Source organism: Homo sapiens, chromosome 16 (genome assembly GCF_000001405.40).
Source record: "Homo sapiens chromosome 16, GRCh38.p14 Primary Assembly".
In the NCBI taxonomy this organism is placed as follows: Eukaryota; Metazoa; Chordata; class Mammalia; order Primates; family Hominidae; genus Homo; species Homo sapiens.
This window is the reverse complement of record NC_000016.10, coordinates 69,165,913-69,185,697: the sequence shown is the minus strand read 5'-3', so window position 1 is coordinate 69,185,697 and position 19,785 is coordinate 69,165,913. Positions and strand designations below refer to the sequence as shown.

At 45.9% G+C, this 19,785-nt stretch overlaps 1 protein-coding gene and 1 pseudogene across 3 annotated transcripts in view, besides 1 other annotated feature; one reads left to right on the top strand and one right to left on the bottom strand.

The window, feature by feature from the left end:
- RNU6-22P (RNA, U6 small nuclear 22, pseudogene) lies at positions 9,921-10,026 on the top strand (annotated as a pseudogene).
- Positions 12,498-12,792: an enhancer, noted in NCBI's record as "tiled region #12307; K562 Activating DNase matched - State 5:Enh". NCBI's record gives its function as "activates a minimal TATA promoter and a strong SV40 promoter by Sharpr-MPRA in K562 cells {active_cell/tissue: K562}" and the evidence as "EXISTENCE:reporter gene assay evidence [ECO:0000049][PMID:27701403]".
- Positions 16,677-19,785, bottom strand: part of UTP4 (UTP4 small subunit processome component) — a 36,373-nt gene continuing 33,264 nt past the window's right edge. For all 3 annotated transcript variants that reach the window (NM_032830.3, NM_001318391.2, XM_005256205.4), the window contains 2 exons: positions 18,513-18,623; positions 16,677-16,877 (listed from right to left, as the gene is read on the bottom strand). In NM_032830.3, the coding sequence (NP_116219.2) occupies positions 16,761-16,877; positions 18,513-18,623 (228 nt within the window). In that variant the 3' untranslated portion in view covers positions 16,677-16,760. The remainder of the gene's footprint in view (positions 16,878-18,512; positions 18,624-19,785) is intronic.

Genomic DNA, 19,785 nt, shown 5'->3' with positions numbered 1-19,785 from the left:
GCCTGCAATCCCAGCTACTCAGGAGGCTGAGGCAGGAGAATCGCTTGAATCCGGGAGGCAGAGGTTGCAGTGAGCCAAGATTGCACCACTGCACTCCAGCCTGGGCAACAAGAGCAAAACTCCATCTCCAAAAAAAAAAAAAAAGTCTGAGCCACACGCGGTGACTCACGCTTGTAATCCCAGCACTTTGGGAGACCGAGGCAGGCAGATCACTTGAGGTCAGGAGTTCGAGTCCAGCCTGGCCAATGTGGTGAAACCCCCGTCTCTACTAAGAATACAAACATTAGCCAGGCATGGTGGTGGGCCCTTATAATTCCAGCTACTCGGGAGGCTGAGGCAGAATTGCTTGAACCCAGGAGGTGGAGGTTGCAGTGAGCTGAGATCGCACCAGTGTACTCCAGCCCGGGTGACAAAGCAAGACCCTGTCTCAAAACAGAAAGTCTGAGAAGGGGGTGAGGGTGGGAGTTGGGGTGGGGGGACAATGATGTAAGTCACCATCCCACTGCCAAGGCCCGAGAGCCAGGTTCACCAAAGTCTGAGGGCAGGAGAAGATGGATGTCCCAGCTCAGGCAGAGAATGAATTCCCCCTACCTCTGCCCTTTGTTTTGCTCAGGCCCTCAACTGACTGGATGCTGCCTGCCCACATTGGTGAGGGTGATCTTCTTTAGAGTCTACCGTGGAAATGCTAATCTCTTCCTGAAACACCCACACAGGTATACCCAGAGGTTATGTTTTACTAGTTACCTGGGGATCCCTTAGCCCAGTCAAGTTGACACAAAATTAACATCATAGATGGTTACTTAGGAAGATGCTAGAATTCCAATGTGAACAGAGCATAGGGTCAGTGGAAATGGGAGGATATGAGTGTGAAAAGCATCTTTTTTTTTTTTCTGAGACAAGAGTTTCACTCTTTTTGCCCAGGCTGGAGTGCAATGGCGCGATCTCGGCTCACTGCAACCTCTGCCTCCCAGGTTCAAACGATTCTCCTGCCTCAGACTCCCGAGTAGCTGGGATTATAGGCATGTGCCACCACGCCTGGCTAATTTTGTATTTTTTAGTAGAGACAAGGTTTCTCCATGTTGGCCAGGCTGGTCTTGAACTCCCGACCTCAGGTGATCTGCACGCCTCGGCCTCCCAAAGTGCTGGGATTACAGGCATGAGCCACCACGCCCAGCTGAAAAGCATAACAAAATATCGAGGAGTTTGAACTTGACTTTATAGATCTTTTTTTTTTTTTTTTTTTGAGATGGAGTCTCATTCTGTCACCCAGGCTGGAGTGCAGTGGCTTGATTTCAGCTCACTGCAACCTCCACCTCCTAGTTTCAAGCAATTCTCCTGCCTCAGCCTCCCGAGTAGCTGGGATTACAGGCGCGTGCCATCACACCAGCTAATTTTTGTATTTTAGTAAAGGTGGGGTTTCACCATGTTGGTCAGGCTGTTCTTGAACTCCTGACCTCATGATCCACCCGCCTCGGCCTCCCAAAGTGCTGGGATTACAGGCGTGAGCCACCGTGCCTGGCCGCAGATCTGACTTTCTTAGCCTGGAGGCCATGGCCTTTTGTTGGGGCAAGTGTACGTGGGCATTCCCAAAAATTGTATGCAAAATTTGGTCTCTAAGGTATTTTTTTGAAGCCTGTGATTCATCCAATTGGCAGGAAGTTTCCCTGACCAAAGGCCATGAGCCACTGCTGTGCACATTGCAGAGCCTGCAGTGGCTTTTATTCAGACATGAATGATACAACCCACCCACCTCCTCCAGCTTCATGGACTAGAAGAGCTAAGAAAACTGAGGGCCAGAGAGCCAAAGACCAAAGACCATGGCCCAAAGTCCATAGGAAGGAGGCAGAGACAACTCAGGACTACCAGCCTCTGGATCCAGGGTTATTTTCACTATACAGTACCCTTCAGACCTCAAAAATAAGGGTCCAAGCTGGGCACAGTGGCTCATGCCTATAATCCCAAAACTTTGGGAGGGTGAGGCAAGCAGATCATTTGAGGTCAGGAGTTCAAGACCAGCCTGACCAACATGGTGAAACCCCATCTCTACTAAAAATACAAAAAAAAAAAAAAAAAAAAATTAGCCAGGTGTGGTGGTACACACCCCTATCTCAGCTACTCAGGAGAATGAGGCACAAGAATCTCTTGAACCCAGGAGGCAAAGGTTGCAGTGAGCCGAGATCGCACCGCTGCACTACAGCCTGGGCGACAGAGCAAGAGTTTGTCTCAAAAAAAAAAAAAATTAAAAAAATAAAAAATAAACTAAGGGTCCAGAAAGCACACTGTTAAGAAAGCAAGTGCTCAGCAAAATCATGAGGTCAAGGTGTCCTCTAACTTTTCTTCAGCAGTAGTAGCAAAAAATCCCTGTGTTTTCATGTGGGCAGGGACAGGGGCAAGCAGAGGGAATGTGCACCAATTCCTGTAAAAGGGGCTGTAAACTTGCTTGCTCATGAAGTGCACGTTGAGGCTCGTAAACCGTGGCCGTGCACCACTCTGTGAATGCATGTTCATGTGCAGGCAGAAACTTCTGAAGAGCCTCCTGTAACAGAAGTTAAAATAATAAATGTAGAGGCTGGGAAGTGTCCAGAGCCCAAATGAAGAAAGAATTCAAAATGAGAAAAGTATCTTACCAAAAAAAAAATCATTACAGCAGAATCCTCTTTGCGATTAGTGGAGTCGGATTTTCCAAGCTGCAAATGTCAGCAAAAGCTCAACCCTCCAGCCCTCTCCTAAATCAACTGCAGAGGCCAGCTTGCTGTTCCAGCAGGTCCCAATGTGCCCAAGTGCACCTGCGGTCACAGACGTTCTGGCTCTGCTCCAGCTGAGGCGTGAGCCCCCAGAGGCCTGAGTTATGTGAAATTTCTGCTTATTAGAGAGTGTTTCGCAGCTGATTCCTTAGAGTATGAGTGCTATTTTTAACACTTTTGCATTTGTAATTACCCAGGAGTTGGGCACTTGAGGACACCTTTATTAGCAGAAGGGAAGTGCTGGGAATTCTCTGCAAGACTATCAAGACCTTTTTGCCAATAGAGTTGGAGTAAGTCACAGATCTGCTAACTAATAGTGAGGGCACTTACATAAGACAGCAAGTTATATAACAAAATATTTAACCCTGGAAGTAGCTAATGGAGATAGATTGGTATTGGGATTACTTGATAATTTTTCCTTTAAAGATTATTTTCAGGCTGGACATGATGGCTCATGCCTGTAATCCCAGAGCTTTGGGAGGCCGAGGCGGGGGGATCACGAGGTCAGGAGATCCAGACCATCCTGGGCAACATGGTGAAACCCCATCTCTACTAAAAATACAAAAATTAGCTGGGCGTGGTGACATGCACTTGTAGTCCCAGCTACTCAGGAGGCTGAGGCAGGAGAATCACTTGAACCCGGGAGGTGGCGGTTGCAGTGAGCCGAGATCGTGCCACTGCACTCCAGCCTGGGCGACAGAGCAAGACTCCATCTCAAAAAAAAAAAGATTATTTTTAAATATGTCCATAAAAAAAAAAATCCCCCAACTGTCAAGCTGTATCTGCAAGGCCTTCCATCAGAACCGAAATGAACTTTTCAACATTGCCTTTCATCACTACCTTCAGATGAGCCCAACTCATTCAGTCAATGTGTCCCAATGATGTCTTGCACGTTGTCTAAGTCCTTCTTTCCAGACACCTCCTGCCTCCTCCGGCCGAATTCCCTTACCACCTAGCAAGCTTTCATTTCAGCTTTGCCTGACTCCTCAGTTCATTGGGAATTTTCCTTTGAACAATTTAATTCTGTTCCTGGCTTGTTTGGCCAAGTAGATTATAAACTACAGGAGGGCAGGGACCACCCATCAACTTATATTTATTCCCCACTATTCCAAAAAGATTACCTTGCAGAGAAGGAACTCATTAAACATATGATTGATTGAGATTCAGTGCCTTCTGCGCTATAGTCCTTTCAAATAATTCCTCTGAAGGTTATTGGTTCCTTGCAGAGTGAAAATTACCATCTAGGAAATCTCAAGGAGTCAGTGGAAATCTACTTACTGTGGATAATGAAATCTGAAATAAAAAGAGCGCACATCTGTTTCCACAGTTTCTTAAGGACAGTGAGACAAGCTATGATCACTCTTTGAAGAGTCATGTTACTTTACCTCTAAAAAAAGGAAATGGCGGCCAGGCACAGTGGCTCACACCTGTAATCCCAGCACTTTGGGAGGCCGAGGCAGGCAGATCGCTTGAGGCCAGGAGTTTGTGACCAGCCTGGCCAACATGATGAAACCTTGTCTCTACTAAAAATACAAAAATTAGCCTGGTGTAGGGGTGCATGCCTATAATCCCAGCTACTCAGGAGGCTGAGGGACGAGAATCGCTTGAACTGAGGAGGCAGAGGTTATAGTGAGCTGAGATCACGCCATTGCACTCCAGCCTGGGCAACAGAGTGAGACTCTGTCTCAAAAAATAAATGAAAGGGCCGGGCACGGTGGCTCACGCCTGTAATCCCGCACTTTGGGAGGCCAAGGCGGGTGGATCACAAGGTCAGGAGATCGAGACCATCCTGGCCAACATGGTGAAACCCCGTTTCTACTAAAAATACAAAAATTAGCTGGGCGTGGTGGTGCATGCCTATAATCCCAGCTACTCGGGAGGCTGAGGCAGGAGAATCGCTTGAACCAGGGAGTTAGAGGTTGCAGTGAGCCGAGATTGCGCCACTGCACTCCAGCCTGGCGAAAGAGTGAGACTCCATCTCAAAAAGTAAATAACAAAATAAAAATAAAAATAAATAAAAAATAAAGGCTGGACACAGTGGTTCACACCTGCAATCCCAGTACTTTGGGAGGCTGAGGCGGGCTGATCATGAGGTCAGGAGATCGAGACTATCCTGGCTAACACGGTGAAACCCCATCTCTACTAAAAATACAAAAACCCCATTTCTACTAAAAACACACAAAAAAATTAGCTGGGCATGGTGGCATGCACCTGTAGTCCCAGCTACTCAGAAGGCTTAGGCAGGAGAATTGCTTGAACCTGGGAGGCGGAGGTTGCAGTGAGCCGAGATCGTGCTACTGCACTCCAGCCTGGGGGACAGAGCAAGACTCCATCTCAAATAAATAAATAAATAAATAAATGAGTACCCATTGCTGTTATTACCAGTTGACTTTCAGCAGCACCAACAATAAAACCTTTGATAGAAACTCTTGGCTGGGCACAGTGGCTCAAGCCTATAATCCTAGCATTTTGGGAGGCCGAGGCAGGAGGATCACTTGAGCCCAGACTGGGCAATGTGGCAAAACCCCATCTCTATAAAAAATACAAAAACTAACTGGGTGTGGTGGTGGGCACCTGTAGTCCTAGCTACTAGGTAGCCTAAGGTGGGAGGATCACTTGAGCCCAGGAGTTCAAGGCTGTAGTGGGCTGTGATCAGACCACTGCACTCCAGCCTGGGTGACACAGTGAGACCCTGTCTCAAAAAGAAGGAAGGAAGGAAGGAAGGAAGGGAGGGAAGGAGGGAGGGAGGGAAGAGAGAGGAAGGGAGGCAGGCAGGCAGGGAGGGAGGGAGGGAAGAGAAGAGAGAGCAAGAAAGGAGGGAGGGAAGGAAGGAAAGAAGGAAGGGAGGGAAAAGAAGAAAGAGGAAGGAAGGAAGGAAGAAAAAAAAAAAGAAACTCTCCAGCTGCTAGTCTATACTTTATCTAGGAATGAGTATGCCATAACACCATTTGATGCCATGCTTAAAGGGCAAATGGCCAAATTAATTTCGGTGACAAACAGATCTTGTATAAAGCTACACTTTGGCTGAAAGACAGTATAGATTGCCAAGAGTCCGTCAAAGGAAAAGAATTAGTGGATCTGGGGCTGGTTCCAACGTTTGAGTGTTGTGTAATTTCATAAGGAAGGAGGGCCTCAAGCAAAATTGCAGCCCTTAGCAAGCCTGAAGGTCACTGCCACAAAGGTGGCCTGATGCCAGAGGAACAAAAGCAGGAGCCACTCAATTACTACTAAGGAAGAAGCCAAAGGGAGAAATAAGCTTATAAAATAACTGATCCAACATCCAGCTTTGAAAAATTATCTATGCATAACTCTTCCCCACTAAGAAGGCAGCAGGATCAGTTATCCTTTTCAATGAATAGTACTACTTTACCTTCCAGTAGAAATATCCTGCAATATATTTTCACTCCAGCACAAACATGTCACGAAAGAGAGAAAGGTGCATATGTCCTTTAGCTGATGCAAGCACATTTTTAATTCATCCCACCAAGATAAATCACTAACCATCTGAAACCCGCAAAAATGGACTAACGATCTCATACAGCATGACTATGAAAACCCACATCTGCTAACCACATTCCTAATAAGCAGCAGCTGGTGACAGTTTTGTAGCACTGTGACTTTTTAAAGGAAAATATTAGCAAGGACACACTAAATAGAAGTTTAGTTTCATTGAATCCACTTAGTTACGGAAAATCACCAGTGTTTTCTTTTTTCTTTTTTTTATTGACAATCATGGAAATTACATAATTTGTCATGAAATTCAAATAATATCTAAAAATAAAAGTCAGCCCAGCACGGTGGCTCACGCCTGTAATCCTAGCACTTTGGGAGGCCGAGGTGGGTGGATCATTTGAGGTCAGGGGTTCGAGACCAGCCTGGTCAACGTGGTGAAACCCTGTCTCCACTAAAAATACAAAAATTAGCCAGCCATGGTGGCAGGCACCTGTAATCCCAGCTACTTGGGAAGCTGAGGCAGGAGAATCGCTTGAACCCGGGAGGCGGAGGTTGCAGTGGGCCATGATCGTGCCACTGCACTCAAGCCTGGGTGACAAAGCGAGACTGTCTCAAAAAAAATAAAAAAATAAAAATTAAATTAAAAGTCTACTTTCCCCCTTCACCAGTTCTTTTTTTTTTTTTTTTTTTTTTTTTTTTTTTTTTTGAGATGGAGTCTCGCTGTGTCGCCCAGACTGGAGTGCAGCGGCCTGATCTCAGCTCACTGCAAGCTCCGCCTCCTGGGTTCATGCCATTCTCCTGTCTCAGCCTCCCGAGTAGCTGGGACTACAGGCACCTGCCCCCACGCCCGGCTAATTTTTTTATTTTTAGTAGAGACGGGGTTTCATCGTGTTAGCCAGGATGGTCTCGATCTCCTGACCTCGTGATGCGCCCGCCTTGGCCTCCCAAAGTGCTGGGATTACAGGCGTGAGCTACCGTGCCCGGCCTCTTTTTTTTTTTTTTTGAGATGAAGTTTCCCTCTTGTTGCCCAGACTGGAGTGCAATGGCACCATCTCGGCTCACTGCAACCTCCGCTTCCTGGGTTCAAGCAATTCTCCTGCCTTAGCCTCCCGAGTAGCTGAGATTACAAATGCCTGCCATCATGCCCAGCTAATTTTTGTATTTTTAGTAGAGACGGGGTTTTACCATGTTGGCCAGGCTGGTCTCGAATTCCTGACCTCAGGCGATACGGCTGCCTTGGCCTCCCACAGTGCTGGGATTACAGGTGTGAGCCACCACACCCAGCCTGGAGATTGAATCTTTAAAGAGGTAACTGAGTTAAAATGAGGTCACTGGGGTGGGCCCTAATCCAGTTTGACTGTTTTCCTTATAAGAAGAGATGAGGGCAGAGATACATGCATGGAGGGAAGACCATGGGAAGATGAAGGGAGAAGATGGTCATTTACAAGGCAAGGAGAGAGGCCTCAGAAGAAACCAATCCAGCCTGGCGTGGTGGCTCATGCCTGTAACCACAGCACATCAGGAGGCAGGAGGATCACTTGAGTCCAGGAGTTCGACACCAGCCTGGGCAATATAGCAAGACCTCGTCTCTACCAAAAAACAAAAAGCTAAAAAACAAGGCCAGGCACGATGGCTCACATCTGTAATCTCAGCATTTTGGGAGGCTGAGGCTGGCAGATCACTTGAGGTCAAGAGTTCAAGACCAGCCTGGCCAACATGGTAAAACTCCATCTCTACTAAAAATACAAAAATTAGCTGGGCATGGTGTTGCATGGTTGTAATCCCAGCTACTCAGGAGGCTGAGGTAGGAGAATCACTTGAACCTGGAAGGCGGAGGTTGCAGTGATCCAAGATTGCTCCACTGCACTCCAGCCTGGGCAACAGAGTGAGACTCTGTCTCAAAACAACCACCACCACCAAAAACAAACAAACAAACAAACAAACAAAAAATCCTGCTGACACCTTGATCTCAATCTCAGACCTTTAGCCTCCAGAACTATGAGAAAATAAATTTCTGGTCTGGCACAGTGGCTCACGCCTATAATCCCAGCACTTTGGGAGGCCAAGGCAGGTGGATTGCTTGAGTTCAGGAGTTCTAGACCAGCCTGGGCAACATAGTGAGACCCCATCTCTACAAAAAAATAGATCCTTGATTAAAAAAAAAAAAAAAAAAGAAAAAGGCCAGGTGCGGTGGCTCGTGCCTGTAATCCCAACACTTTGGGAGGCCGAGACGGGTGGATCACTTGAGATCAGGAGTTTGAGACCAGCCTGACCAACATGGTGAAACCCCATCTCTACTAAAAATACAAAAATTAGCTGGATGTGGTAGCACACACTTATTACCCCAGCTACTTGGGAGGCTGAGGCAGGAGAAGTGCTTGAACCCTAGAGGCAGAGGCTGCAGTGAGCTGAGATCGTGCCACTGCACTCCAGCCTGGGCATCAGAGTGAGACTCTATTCCAAAAAAAAAAAAGAAAGAAAAAGAAAAAATGACAGTTTGGGCTATTAAAAAAAAAAATTAGCCAGGTGTAGTGGCGCACACCTGTAGTTCTAGCTACTCAGGATGCTGAGGCCGGAGGATTGCTTGAGCCCAGGGGTTAAGGCTGCAATGAGTCAAGATTGAGCAACTGCAATCCAGCCTGGGCAACAGAGCCAGACCCTGTCTCCAAAAAAAAAAAAAGAAGTTATGTTGTTGAAGCCATCCCAATAGTGCTTTGTTATGGCAGCCCTAACATAGACCCCCCGTCACCTACACAACAGCCTGTTTTTTGCCTCCCTAACTTCCAGTCTCTTCTGCCCCTTACACAAATGGGCATTTTTACTGTCATTCCATTGAATGTGTGAGTGACTCACAGCTGTGTTTTCCACTGAATGAAAATTCTGGACCACAGACTGGAAGGCCCACCCCAACTGGTCTTATTTCTCACTACATGTTGGCTCAAGGACTCTGTATCCAAAACAACTTGTCTTTTCCACATACTTTCCTAAACTGCTTAGCTTCCTTCTGTGGAAACCACTCTATTGTGTGTGTGGTGTGTGTGTGTGTGTGTGTGTCTGTGTGTCAGGGTCTTGCTCTGTTCTCAGGCTGGAATGCAATGGTGTGGTCCCAGGTCACTGCAGCCTCAACCTCCCAGGCTCAAGCAAGTCTCCCACCTCAGCCTCTCGAGTAGCTAGGAAACACAGGCATGTGCCACCACATCTGGCTAATTTTAAAAAAATGTTTTCGTAGAGATGGGGTCTCACTGTGTTGCCCAGGCTGGTCTCAAGTTCAAGGAATCCTCCTGCCTTGGTCTCCCAAAGTGCTGGGGTTACAGGCATGAGCCACTGTACCTGACCTCATGTAGCATGACTGATCTACTTGCTTCTCTCCCCTTCTAGGCGGTATAGTTCTTGAGGGCTGAGGCTGTATTTTTCTTCTGTTTTTGGTGAGTTGCATATAGTAGCCACTCAATAAATGTATAGCTGTTACTAAATTCTATAACTTCCTAAAGACAATGAACTGACACAAAGCTAAGCCTGAATATCTAGATCTGTGCTGGTCAATATGAAGGCTATTAGCACATGTAGCTATTTAAATTAAAATTAAAAATTCTGGCCAGGCATGGTGGCTCACACCTGTAATCCCAGCACTTTGGGAGGCTGAGGCAGGCAGATCACCTGAGGTTAGGAGTTCCAGCCTGGCCAACATGGTGAAACCTTGTCTCTATAAAAAATATAAAAATTGTGCTCGCTTCAGCAGCACATATACTAAAATTGGAACGATACAGAGAAGATTAACGTGGCCCCTGAGCAAGGATGACACGCAAATTCGTGAAGCGTTCCATATTTTTTGCAAACCATCCAAAAGACCACCACCCGCCAGACAGTGGATGGCAAAGTGGTGTCTGAGACCAACGACACCAAAGTTCTGAGGCATTAAGCCAGCAGAAGCAGGGTACCCTTTGAGGAGCAGGAGGCCAATAAAAAGTTCAGAGTTAAAAAAATATATATATGTGTATATATATATACACATACACACACACACACACATATATATTATATATATGTGTGTATATATATGTGTGTGTGTGTATATATATGTGTGTGTGTGTGTGTGTGTGTGTGTGTATACATATATATATATATAAATTAGCCGGGCATGGTGGCGCATGCCTGTAGTCCCAGCTACTTGGGAGGCTGAGGCAGGAGAATCGCTTGAACCCAGGAGGTGGAGGTTGTAGTGAGCCAAGATGGTGCCACTGCGCTCCAGCCTGGGCGACAGAGTGAGACTCCGTCTCAAAAAATAAATAAATAAATAAAACAGAAATGTTTTCTATTTGTGCTATGCCGTAAGATAGTTACTAGGCACATGTGACTATTGAGCACTTGCAATGTTGCTAGTGTGACTAAGAACAGAATTTTTTTTTTTTGAGAAGGAGTCTTGCTCTGTTACCCAGGCAGGAGTGCAGTGGTGCGATTTCGGCTCACTGCAACCTCTGCCTCCCAGGTTCAAGCGATTCTCCTGCTTCAGCCTCCTGAGTAGCTGGGATTACAGGCACACACCACCATGCCTGGCTAATTTTTGTATTTTTAGTAGAGGCAGAGTTTCACCAAGTTGGTCAGGCTGGTCTTCAACTCCTGACCTCGTGATCCGCCCACCTCAGCCTCCCAAGGCACTGGGATTACAGGCATGAGCCACCTTATGCTGGCTTCGAACTCCTGACCTCATGATCCACCCGCCTCGGCCTCCCAAAATGCTGGGATTACACGCGTGGACCAACCGTGCCCAGCCTTACTTATTTATTTTTGATACAGGGGTCTCACTCTGTCACCCAGGTTGGAGTGCAGTGGCATGATCTCTGCTCACTACAACTTCCACCTCCCAGGCTCAAGTAATTCTCCCACCTCAGCCTCCCAAGTAGCTGAGATTATAGGCATGCGCCACTACACCCAGCTAATTTTTGTATTTTTAGTAGAGACGGGGTTTCATGGTGCCTAGGCTGGTCTCAAACTCCTGAGCTCAGGTGATTCATCCGGCTTGGCCTCCCAAAGTGCTGTGATTACAGGCATGAGCCACCACACTTGGCCTACTTTTCTATCATTACGGAAAGTTTATTGGACAGTGCTGATCTACGTCATAAAATACCTTGAAATACTAAAAGAAAAAGACAACACGGCTGGACACGGTGGCTCACGCCTGTAATCCCAGCACTTCGGGAGGCCGAGCTGGGCGGATCACGAAGTCAGGAGCTCGACACCATCCTGGCTAACACGGTGAAACCCCGTCTCTACTAAAAATACAAAAAATTAGCCAGGCATGGTGGCAGGCGCCTGTAGTCCCAGCTACTCAGGAGGCTGAGGCAGGAGAATGCCTTGAACCCGGGAGGCGGAGCTGGCAGTGAGCCAAGACTGCGCCACTGCACTCCAGCCTGGGTGACAGAGTGAGACTGTCTCAAAAAAAAAAAAAAAAAAAAAAAAAAAACAAACCAGAAAGAAAGAAAAAGACAACACATTAGGGGAAAAAAAGGAGAAAGGGTTATGAATATGTAATTCATGCAATTGGCCAAACAGCCAAACACATAAAGTGAGCAACCTCATTAGTAAACAGGGAAATGCAGAGTAAAATGAGATAGCGTTTTTCACCCATTGGATAGGCTAAAATTAGTCTGCCAATACATTGGTAAGGAATAAGGAAACAAATACTTTCAAACACTGCTGATGGGAAAACAGCCAGTACGAAGGCCAAATAAAAGTGAAAGAAAATGGACACAGTATGAGCCACACCCAGGAACTGGCCCAAGAAACACCCAGACATGAGCACCAGGAGACAATGTCCTAGATTGTACATTACTACACTCTATATGACTAACACAAAAGACTGCCCACATAACTCAATATTACAGCTAGATCAAGTGCTCAAACACCTTCCCTGTAGCCTACGAAACGGAAAATCCTTTGTGTATCATGCCTGCTAATCATCATGTTACAGGAAAGGGGTCACAATCCAGACCCCAAGAGAGGGTTCTTGGATCTTATGCAAGAAAGAATTCAGGGCGAGTTGGTAAAGTGAAAGCAAGTTTATTAAGCAAGTGAAGGAAAGCCAGAGCAGCCTCAAGGCTGGTTGCCCATTTTTATGGTTCTTTTCTTTTTTTTTTGGAGACACAGCCTCACTCTGCCGCCAGGCTGGAGTGCAGTGGTGCGATCTCGGCTCACTGCAACCTCTGCCTGCCCAGTTCAAGTGATTCTTCTGCCTCAGCCTCCCTAGTAGCTGGGACTATAGGTGTGTGCCACCATGCCCAGCTAATTTTTGTATTTTTTTTTAGTAGAGACGGGGTTTCACCAAGTTGGCCAGGTTGGTCTGGAACTCCTGACCTCAGGTGATCTGCCCACCACAGCCTTCCAGAGTGCTGATATTACAGGCATGAGCCACCGCACCCAGCCTTTTATGGTTATTTCTTGATGATATGCTAAGCAAGGAGTGGATTATTCATGCCTTCCCTGTTTAGACCATATACGGTAACTTCCTGACGTTGCCATGGCATTTGTAAACTGTCATGGCGCTGGTGGGAGTGTAGCAGTGAGGACGACCAGAGGTCACTCTTGCGGCCTTCTTGGTTTTGGTGGGTTTTAGCCAGCTTCTTTACTGCAACCTGTTTCATCAGCAAGGTCTTTATGACCTGTATCTTGTGCCGACCTTCTATCTCATTCAGTGACATAATGGCTTAACTGTCTGGGAATGCAGCCCAGTAGGTCTCAGCCTCATTTTACCTAGCTCCTATTCAAGATACATTTGCTTTGGTTCAAATGCTTCTGACAATCATATTTATGATTAGGGTCCTATAACTGAGATAGTGGGGGAATAAGCTGAAGAATGCCACCTTGGCCTCTAACAAATCAATGTGTGACTATGGGAAAAATTACCTCTTCCCTTCTTGATCTCCCATTTCCAAGACTGTAAAAATGAGAATGGCCGGGTGCGGTGGCTTACACATGAAATCCCAGCACCTTGGGAGGCCGAGGTGGGCAGATCACCAGGTCAGGGGATTGAGACCATCCTGGCCAACATGCTGAAACCCCGTCTCTACTAAAATACAAAAAATTAGCCGGGCGTGGTGGCGGGCACCTGCAGTCCCAGCTACTTGGGACTGAGGCAGGGGAATCGCTTGAATCTAGAAGGCGAATGTTGCAGTGAGCCGAGATCGCACCACTGCACTCCAGCCTGGTGACAGAGCAAGACTGTCTCAAAAAAAAAAAAAAAAGAAGAAAAAAAAAGGAAAAAAAATGAGACTGAGAGTCACGTTTCTTTTACAAACTCCTGCTTCATCTCCACCCAATAGGAATAACTTCATTTTTATCTACAGCATACATTGTGGTTCGGTATTAAGTACCATTTAAAGAAAGGTTGATGCTCAAAAGAAAGCCTAAAAACCCCCAAATTTGATGGTCTCTATCTTCCAATATTCCAAGATTTTAGTTCTTCTTAGTTGAATTTGCTATACTCTCCACGGTACATGTGAATTATCCATTCAGAGATTAGTTTACTAACCAGTACATGAGAAGAGTGAATTTTTAAAGCATTTGAGTCAGATTGGCAAAAAAGACCGTTCCTGGGCTGGTTTCAAATCAGAATTTTTCTGTAGAACCCAAGAATGAGCAGAGGTATGCAAAATGGCCAAAACAGAAACATAACGCCAAGAGGGAAACGTTTTAAATGTCTAGGTTACACAAACCCCCAAAGTAAAAACACCCTGAAACCCATGCACTAAAGCGTTCCCCTTTTTTAATACTGGTTTTCCTTCCCTTCCCTTCCCTTCCCCTCACATCCCCTCCCCTCCTCTCCCCTCTCCCACAGTCCCTTCCCCTCACATTCCCTCCCCTCCTTTCCCCTCCCTTCCCTTCCCCCAATTTCTCTAACTTGCCCTAGTCAGTTTCTGCTTCATTTGTATTCCAAGTTTTCTACTTCGGAAGAATTTCAAGGCCCAAAGCACTTACTTCCCATACCATTTAAGGAAGTACAAATCACTGGCTGGAAAAGTTGAAAAGGAATGCTTTCTACTTTCAGAACTTTTACTTCCTCATTCAGATGATCTGTGGGCTCTCTCTGTGAGAATTACATCCTCCACAACCCACAAGATTTTAGAATTTAAGTAAGTTAAGCCATAAACTAGATTCCAGTTGACAAGGATTCTCTGAATTTACAGCTCTACAACGAGTGAAAAGCAAGTGAGTTAATTTATTATTTTATTTTGAGATGGAGTCTCGCTCTGTGCGATCTTGGCTCACTGCAACCTCTGCTTCCCAGGTTCAAGCAGTTCTCCTGCCTCAGCCTCCCAAGTAGCTGGGATTACAGGCGTGTGCCACCATGCCTGGCTAAGTTTTGTATTTTTAGTAGAGATGGGGTTTTGCCATGTTGGCCAGGCTGGCTTGAACTCCTGAACCTCAAGTGATCTGCCTGCCTTGGCCTCCCGAAGTGCTGGGATTACAGGTGTGAGCCACTGCACCGGGCCACAAGTGAGTTACTATTTAAGGCATCCTAGCCTCCATCTGTTCACAAGTATTCAATGTAGACCAGCAACTTGAACTTGTCATTTCAACCACTTAAAACATTTCTTAGAAAGGACAGAATCTTCAGTAAACTAAAAAGGTCCCTAATAGTCCAGTCTAATCCAGACTGGAAAAATATACCTTACAGAAAAAAATGTATTCAACAAGAGGCAAGTTTTTTTTTACACAGGTGACCTAAAAAGTTGCAGGTATTTTGTTTTCTTTGAGAGAGGGTCTCAAAAAAATCTAGGCTGGAGTGCAGCGGCGTGCTCAGGGATCACTGCAGCCTCTTCCTCCTGGGCTCAAGCAATCCTCCCACCTCAGCCTCCTGAGAAGCTGGGACTACAGGTGCTTGCCACCACGCCTGGCTAATTTTTGTATGTTTTGTAGGGATGGAGTTTCACCATGTTGCCCAGGCTGGTCTCAAAGTCCTCAGTTCAAGCTATTTGCCAGTCTCAGCCTCCCAAAGTGCTGGGATTACAGCCATGGCGCCCAGCAGGTATTTGTTTAAATTACTCCTATCACTGTAAAACCTAACAGGTGGGGCAGAGGCAAAGACATCCATTATAAATCTTATCATATCTGTTCTTTCTTATCAAACCTAAAATAGGCTGTCCTTTATGTGATAAATTATTGGGCTCTGTTTATCTCTCTTATAACCTCTCTCTCTCTGTTAATTCTCCCCCCAAACATCTACCTTAAATCCTCATTTATTTTCCCTTTCCAGAATGGAGGGTGGGGCTAATCATAGCAAAATGTTTTTCACCAACCCTTCATTCAAGATGTTATCAGAACCCACACACTTCTCTGCCCACACTTCAGCCCTCCATCCCCAAAACAAACAAAAACCACACAAACTGGGTTTACGCAGGCATGCAACAGAATACATCCCGAGAAGGGAAAGAAATCTATCTGCTCAGTTTAGTTAACTAGAGTTCTTCACTTTCTAATTTAAAGATCACATTAAAACTGGCCAGTTGATAACACACGTGGGAATAACAATGTCAGAGCAGGTAGAAGAGAATGAAAAATGTGAAATACATGGTGGGCTCTCGGGTCCCCATCTCTACTCTTAATCCCTAACAAAATTCCTGCCCAGTGTTTCCTTACCCTTTTTTTTTTTTTTTTTTTTAAAGAGACAGGGTCTCACACTATGTTGCCCAGGCTGGAGTGCAGTGGCTATTCACCAGTATGATCATAGCACACTATGGTCTCAAGCTCCTGGGCTCCACTGAGCCTCTCGAGTAGCTGGGACTACTGATGTGTGCCCAGCTCCTGTATCTTTTTTTTCATATTGTATTTCTTTAGGGATAGGGTCTCCCTATGTTGCCCGGGTTGGTCTCTGGACTCAAGGATGCTCCCACCTTGGCCTCCTAAAATGCTGGGATTACAGGCATGAGCCACCATGCCTGGCCCTTCCATACCTTTTGAAACCAGCACATAACAGGTAAAAAGGCAGTTAATGGGACTGATAACCCAAGCTTTTTTTACTTTTAAATAAAATTAACGGCTGACTGTCAAAGGTCAAAGGCATCTATTTTTTAGATGGAGCACTCCCTTATAATGCTGGAGTTGAAATTCTTCCTTGAACTCTAAGGCTGATTATGGTTATTAGTGGTCAGGCTATCCTGGGTAAGTAATTACGGTCCTCTGCCCTCCAGGGCGAGGATGGGCAGATTCCTACGCAGTTCCATGGGCTGGGGGCTGGCAGGAAGTGAAGGCTATCAGCTCTCTGAAGCCTTAGGCATGTAATAGGGAACAGAACACAAATATCTTTTCTTCTGAGATTGCGGCCTACAGAATAAGCAGGACTCAATCAACATTAGATGAGTTTGTAGCTACTGAGCACATTATCCCCAATACAAATACCTCATTTGGAATTTCCATTCATTTTCATTCAATGAAGGGAAATGACTGTCCATTATTTTGGAAGAAAACATTTATAATGACTAGTCCTCAAGAATAACTTGTTTTATTACCATGATTTGTGAAAAGCAACAGGGTAGACAGTTCAAGGAAGGACACAGACAGTGCCCTGTTTTAGGTTCCAAATTTCTTCTTTTTAATGGGTGGTGGGAGCTGAGCAATGATGTCATCCAGAGGCCGTTCTACTGCCACGAGTGTTCTTTCATCCAAAAGATCCATGAAGAGTAGAGGCTGCAGAGGGATGATAATTATTCTATCAGGACTTAGGATCCAGGGCTAGTCCTGAAAGAACTGACTGTAGGTAGACACCATCTAAGCTAAAAGGTTAGCCTAGTTCAAGGCTCAAATGATTTAAATTTCTTGACAATCTTTCCTGCCCTGGGACTCAAAATAGTTGGAATGCATAAAAGCTTTTTTTTTTATTTTTTAGAGATCTTGCTATGTTGCCTAGGCAGGAGAGCAGTGGTCATTCATAGACATGATCAACGTGCACTGAAGCCCTGAACTCCTGGGCAATCATCCTGCCTCAGTCTCCTGAGTAGCTGGGACAATAGGTAGGTGTGCACGGCTGCGCCTGGCTCAAGATTGGGAGCCTTTTTTTTTTTTTTTTTTTTTTTTGAGACAGTCTCGCTCTGCCGCCCAGGCTGGAGTGCAGTGGCGCAATCTCGGCTCACGGCAAGCTCCGCCTCCCGGGTTCACGCCATTCTCCCGCCTCAGCCTCCCGGGTAGCTGGGACTACAGGTGCCCACCACCACGCCCGGCTAATTTTTTGTATTTTTAGTAGAGATGGGGTTTCACCGTGTTAGCCAGGATGGTCTCGATCTCCTGAACTCGTGATCCGCCCACCTTGGCCTCCCAAAGTGCTGGGATTACAGGCGTGAGCCACTGCGCCCGGCCAAGATTGGGAGCTTTTAACTAAGTTCACTCATAAAAGGTCTCAGCAGGATTTTTTTACATTTCTCTGGATAGAAAATCTATGCTTCTTATATCTCAAGAATCAATGTTAAGCAAGGACTTTAAAGCCTAAGTTCTTTTTTTTCTCAGACAGAATCTCGATGTTACCCAGCCTGGAGTGCAGTGGTGCAATCATACTCACCGCAGCCTTGAACTCCTGAGCACAAGCTATCCTCCCATCTCAGCCTCTTGAGCAGCTGGGACTACAGGCATGCTCCACCACACCTAGCTAATTTTTATATTTTTTTTTTTTTTGTAGAGACAGGGTCTCACTATGTTGCCCAGACTGGTCTTGAACTCCAGCCTCAACCTCCTAAAGTACTGAGATTACAGGCGTGAATCACCATACCCAGCCTAAGGCAACTGACAACTGGCAAGCTACAAATGCATCAAGAAGCTAATCACATTTGAGTCATTTGAGTAATCAGTAATTTACAGAACTCTCCTTTTTTTTTTTTTGTTAATAGTGATGGGGTTTCACCATGGTGCCCAGGCTGGTTTTGAATTCCTGGGCTGAGGAGATCCACCTGCCTTGGCCTCCCAAAGTGCTGGGATTACAGGTATGAGCTACCAAGCCCAGCCTGCTTGACATTTATCCTATGGAACACTCCAACAAGTAAAATTTAAAGCCAGCTCTCATGACAACAAAGACTCTACCCTCAGCGCCAACATTTCTCACTACTTACGCATTTCATTTTGGTTAAGTATGATGTGCCTGCCTCTAACCTACTAAGGCAAGAACAATAAAACATATACAAGGGACAGCCAGCCTCAAAAAGGTGACTTGTCTCCCACAAGCCAGGTTCTCTGCATGGAAACTGAAGGTGCTCTTATCTTCCGATTGTGGAGTTTATTACATTTTGGTATCACAAAGGAACCAACTATCCAGAATAACAACACAAGATGTTTTACCTTATATATCTTAGAAATTTTAAAAGCATGAGCTGTGCGCCTCCGGATGACATCTGATTCATTCGTGGGAGGAAATGGATTGTAGAGTAAGGTTTTGTCATTTGGAAGGGGCTAAAAAAACAAAGACACATTGTTTAAATGGTTACTTTTATTGGGCTTCTGCAGACCAAAGATCTGTAGTGCATTTTGAGCCCAACATCATCTTCTAACCATCATATATATTCAGTACCTCCCTGACATTCGTTAATTCGGGAAAACAGCTGTAGCCATAATACCTCTATTCAGAAAAACTAGGGGGGAAAAAAAGAAGAAAAGGAGAGAGAGGGAGAAAGAGCTGAAGCTACTCTTGCAGCCACACTGTAGAGGGTGGGTGTATGAGGCAAAGAGAGCTTGTTAACTCCATGCAGCAAGATCAAAGGGCCCTTCTGCGGCTTCTGGCCTGTCTCATCAGTATCACTTTGTCAGAATGGAACAAACTGGCAAGTGCAGGAGCTCAGCCCACACAGGGTCTGTGCTTTCTAGACTCTCCCCCAACCAGATCACAGACTGGACAAGTGACTGGAGTTCTCCCCAGGCGAAACCTCAACACAAACCACCTGTGCTGATGTCACTGACACCTCGAGGTGGCCTCTGGCCAAAGAAATGATATTTTGTCTCTGACTTCCTGGGAAATAGCTATGCCTACTGTAAGGAAGCGATGAACTTAAAGCCAATGCTTTGGAAAAAATGATCTGGGCTCAATTACAAAGAGGCAAGAGAGTGGGAGGGGCCCTTCCTGTATCACTCATCTTGCAGAAGGCACTTGTCAGCCAGCTCTGCTTCCCACACCCAGAGGTCGCAGGGCCCACGAGATGATTCCAGTGACACATCCCCGTGCACACCTCCTTTAGAGCCATCTGCTGCTTTCCCCCATGTTCCTTCCACCCCCACCTTCACAAACACACCAAAACACCGTGTGATGGTTGTAATCTAAGCCCAAAGTGCAGGACAGGCATGGCCACAATGCTCCTAGGAAACAAAGCACCTGCCCAGAAAAGCCATACAAATTCAGGGTGAATCAAAACAGCAGCTGGCAAAGAGGACAGAATCTAAAACTGAAGAAAATGCTCGTATCCCATGTAAATCACAGCCATGAAGAATTTTCCTAGCTGGGTTTTTCGAAGATGTTAAGACCAGTTCCTCAAGCCTGCAGACAGCGTTTTAGTAGCTTTAGCGAAGGGGCACAGAGGTCAAAACCTCAGCCTGTACCTCCTTTAATGAAACCAGGTTATTC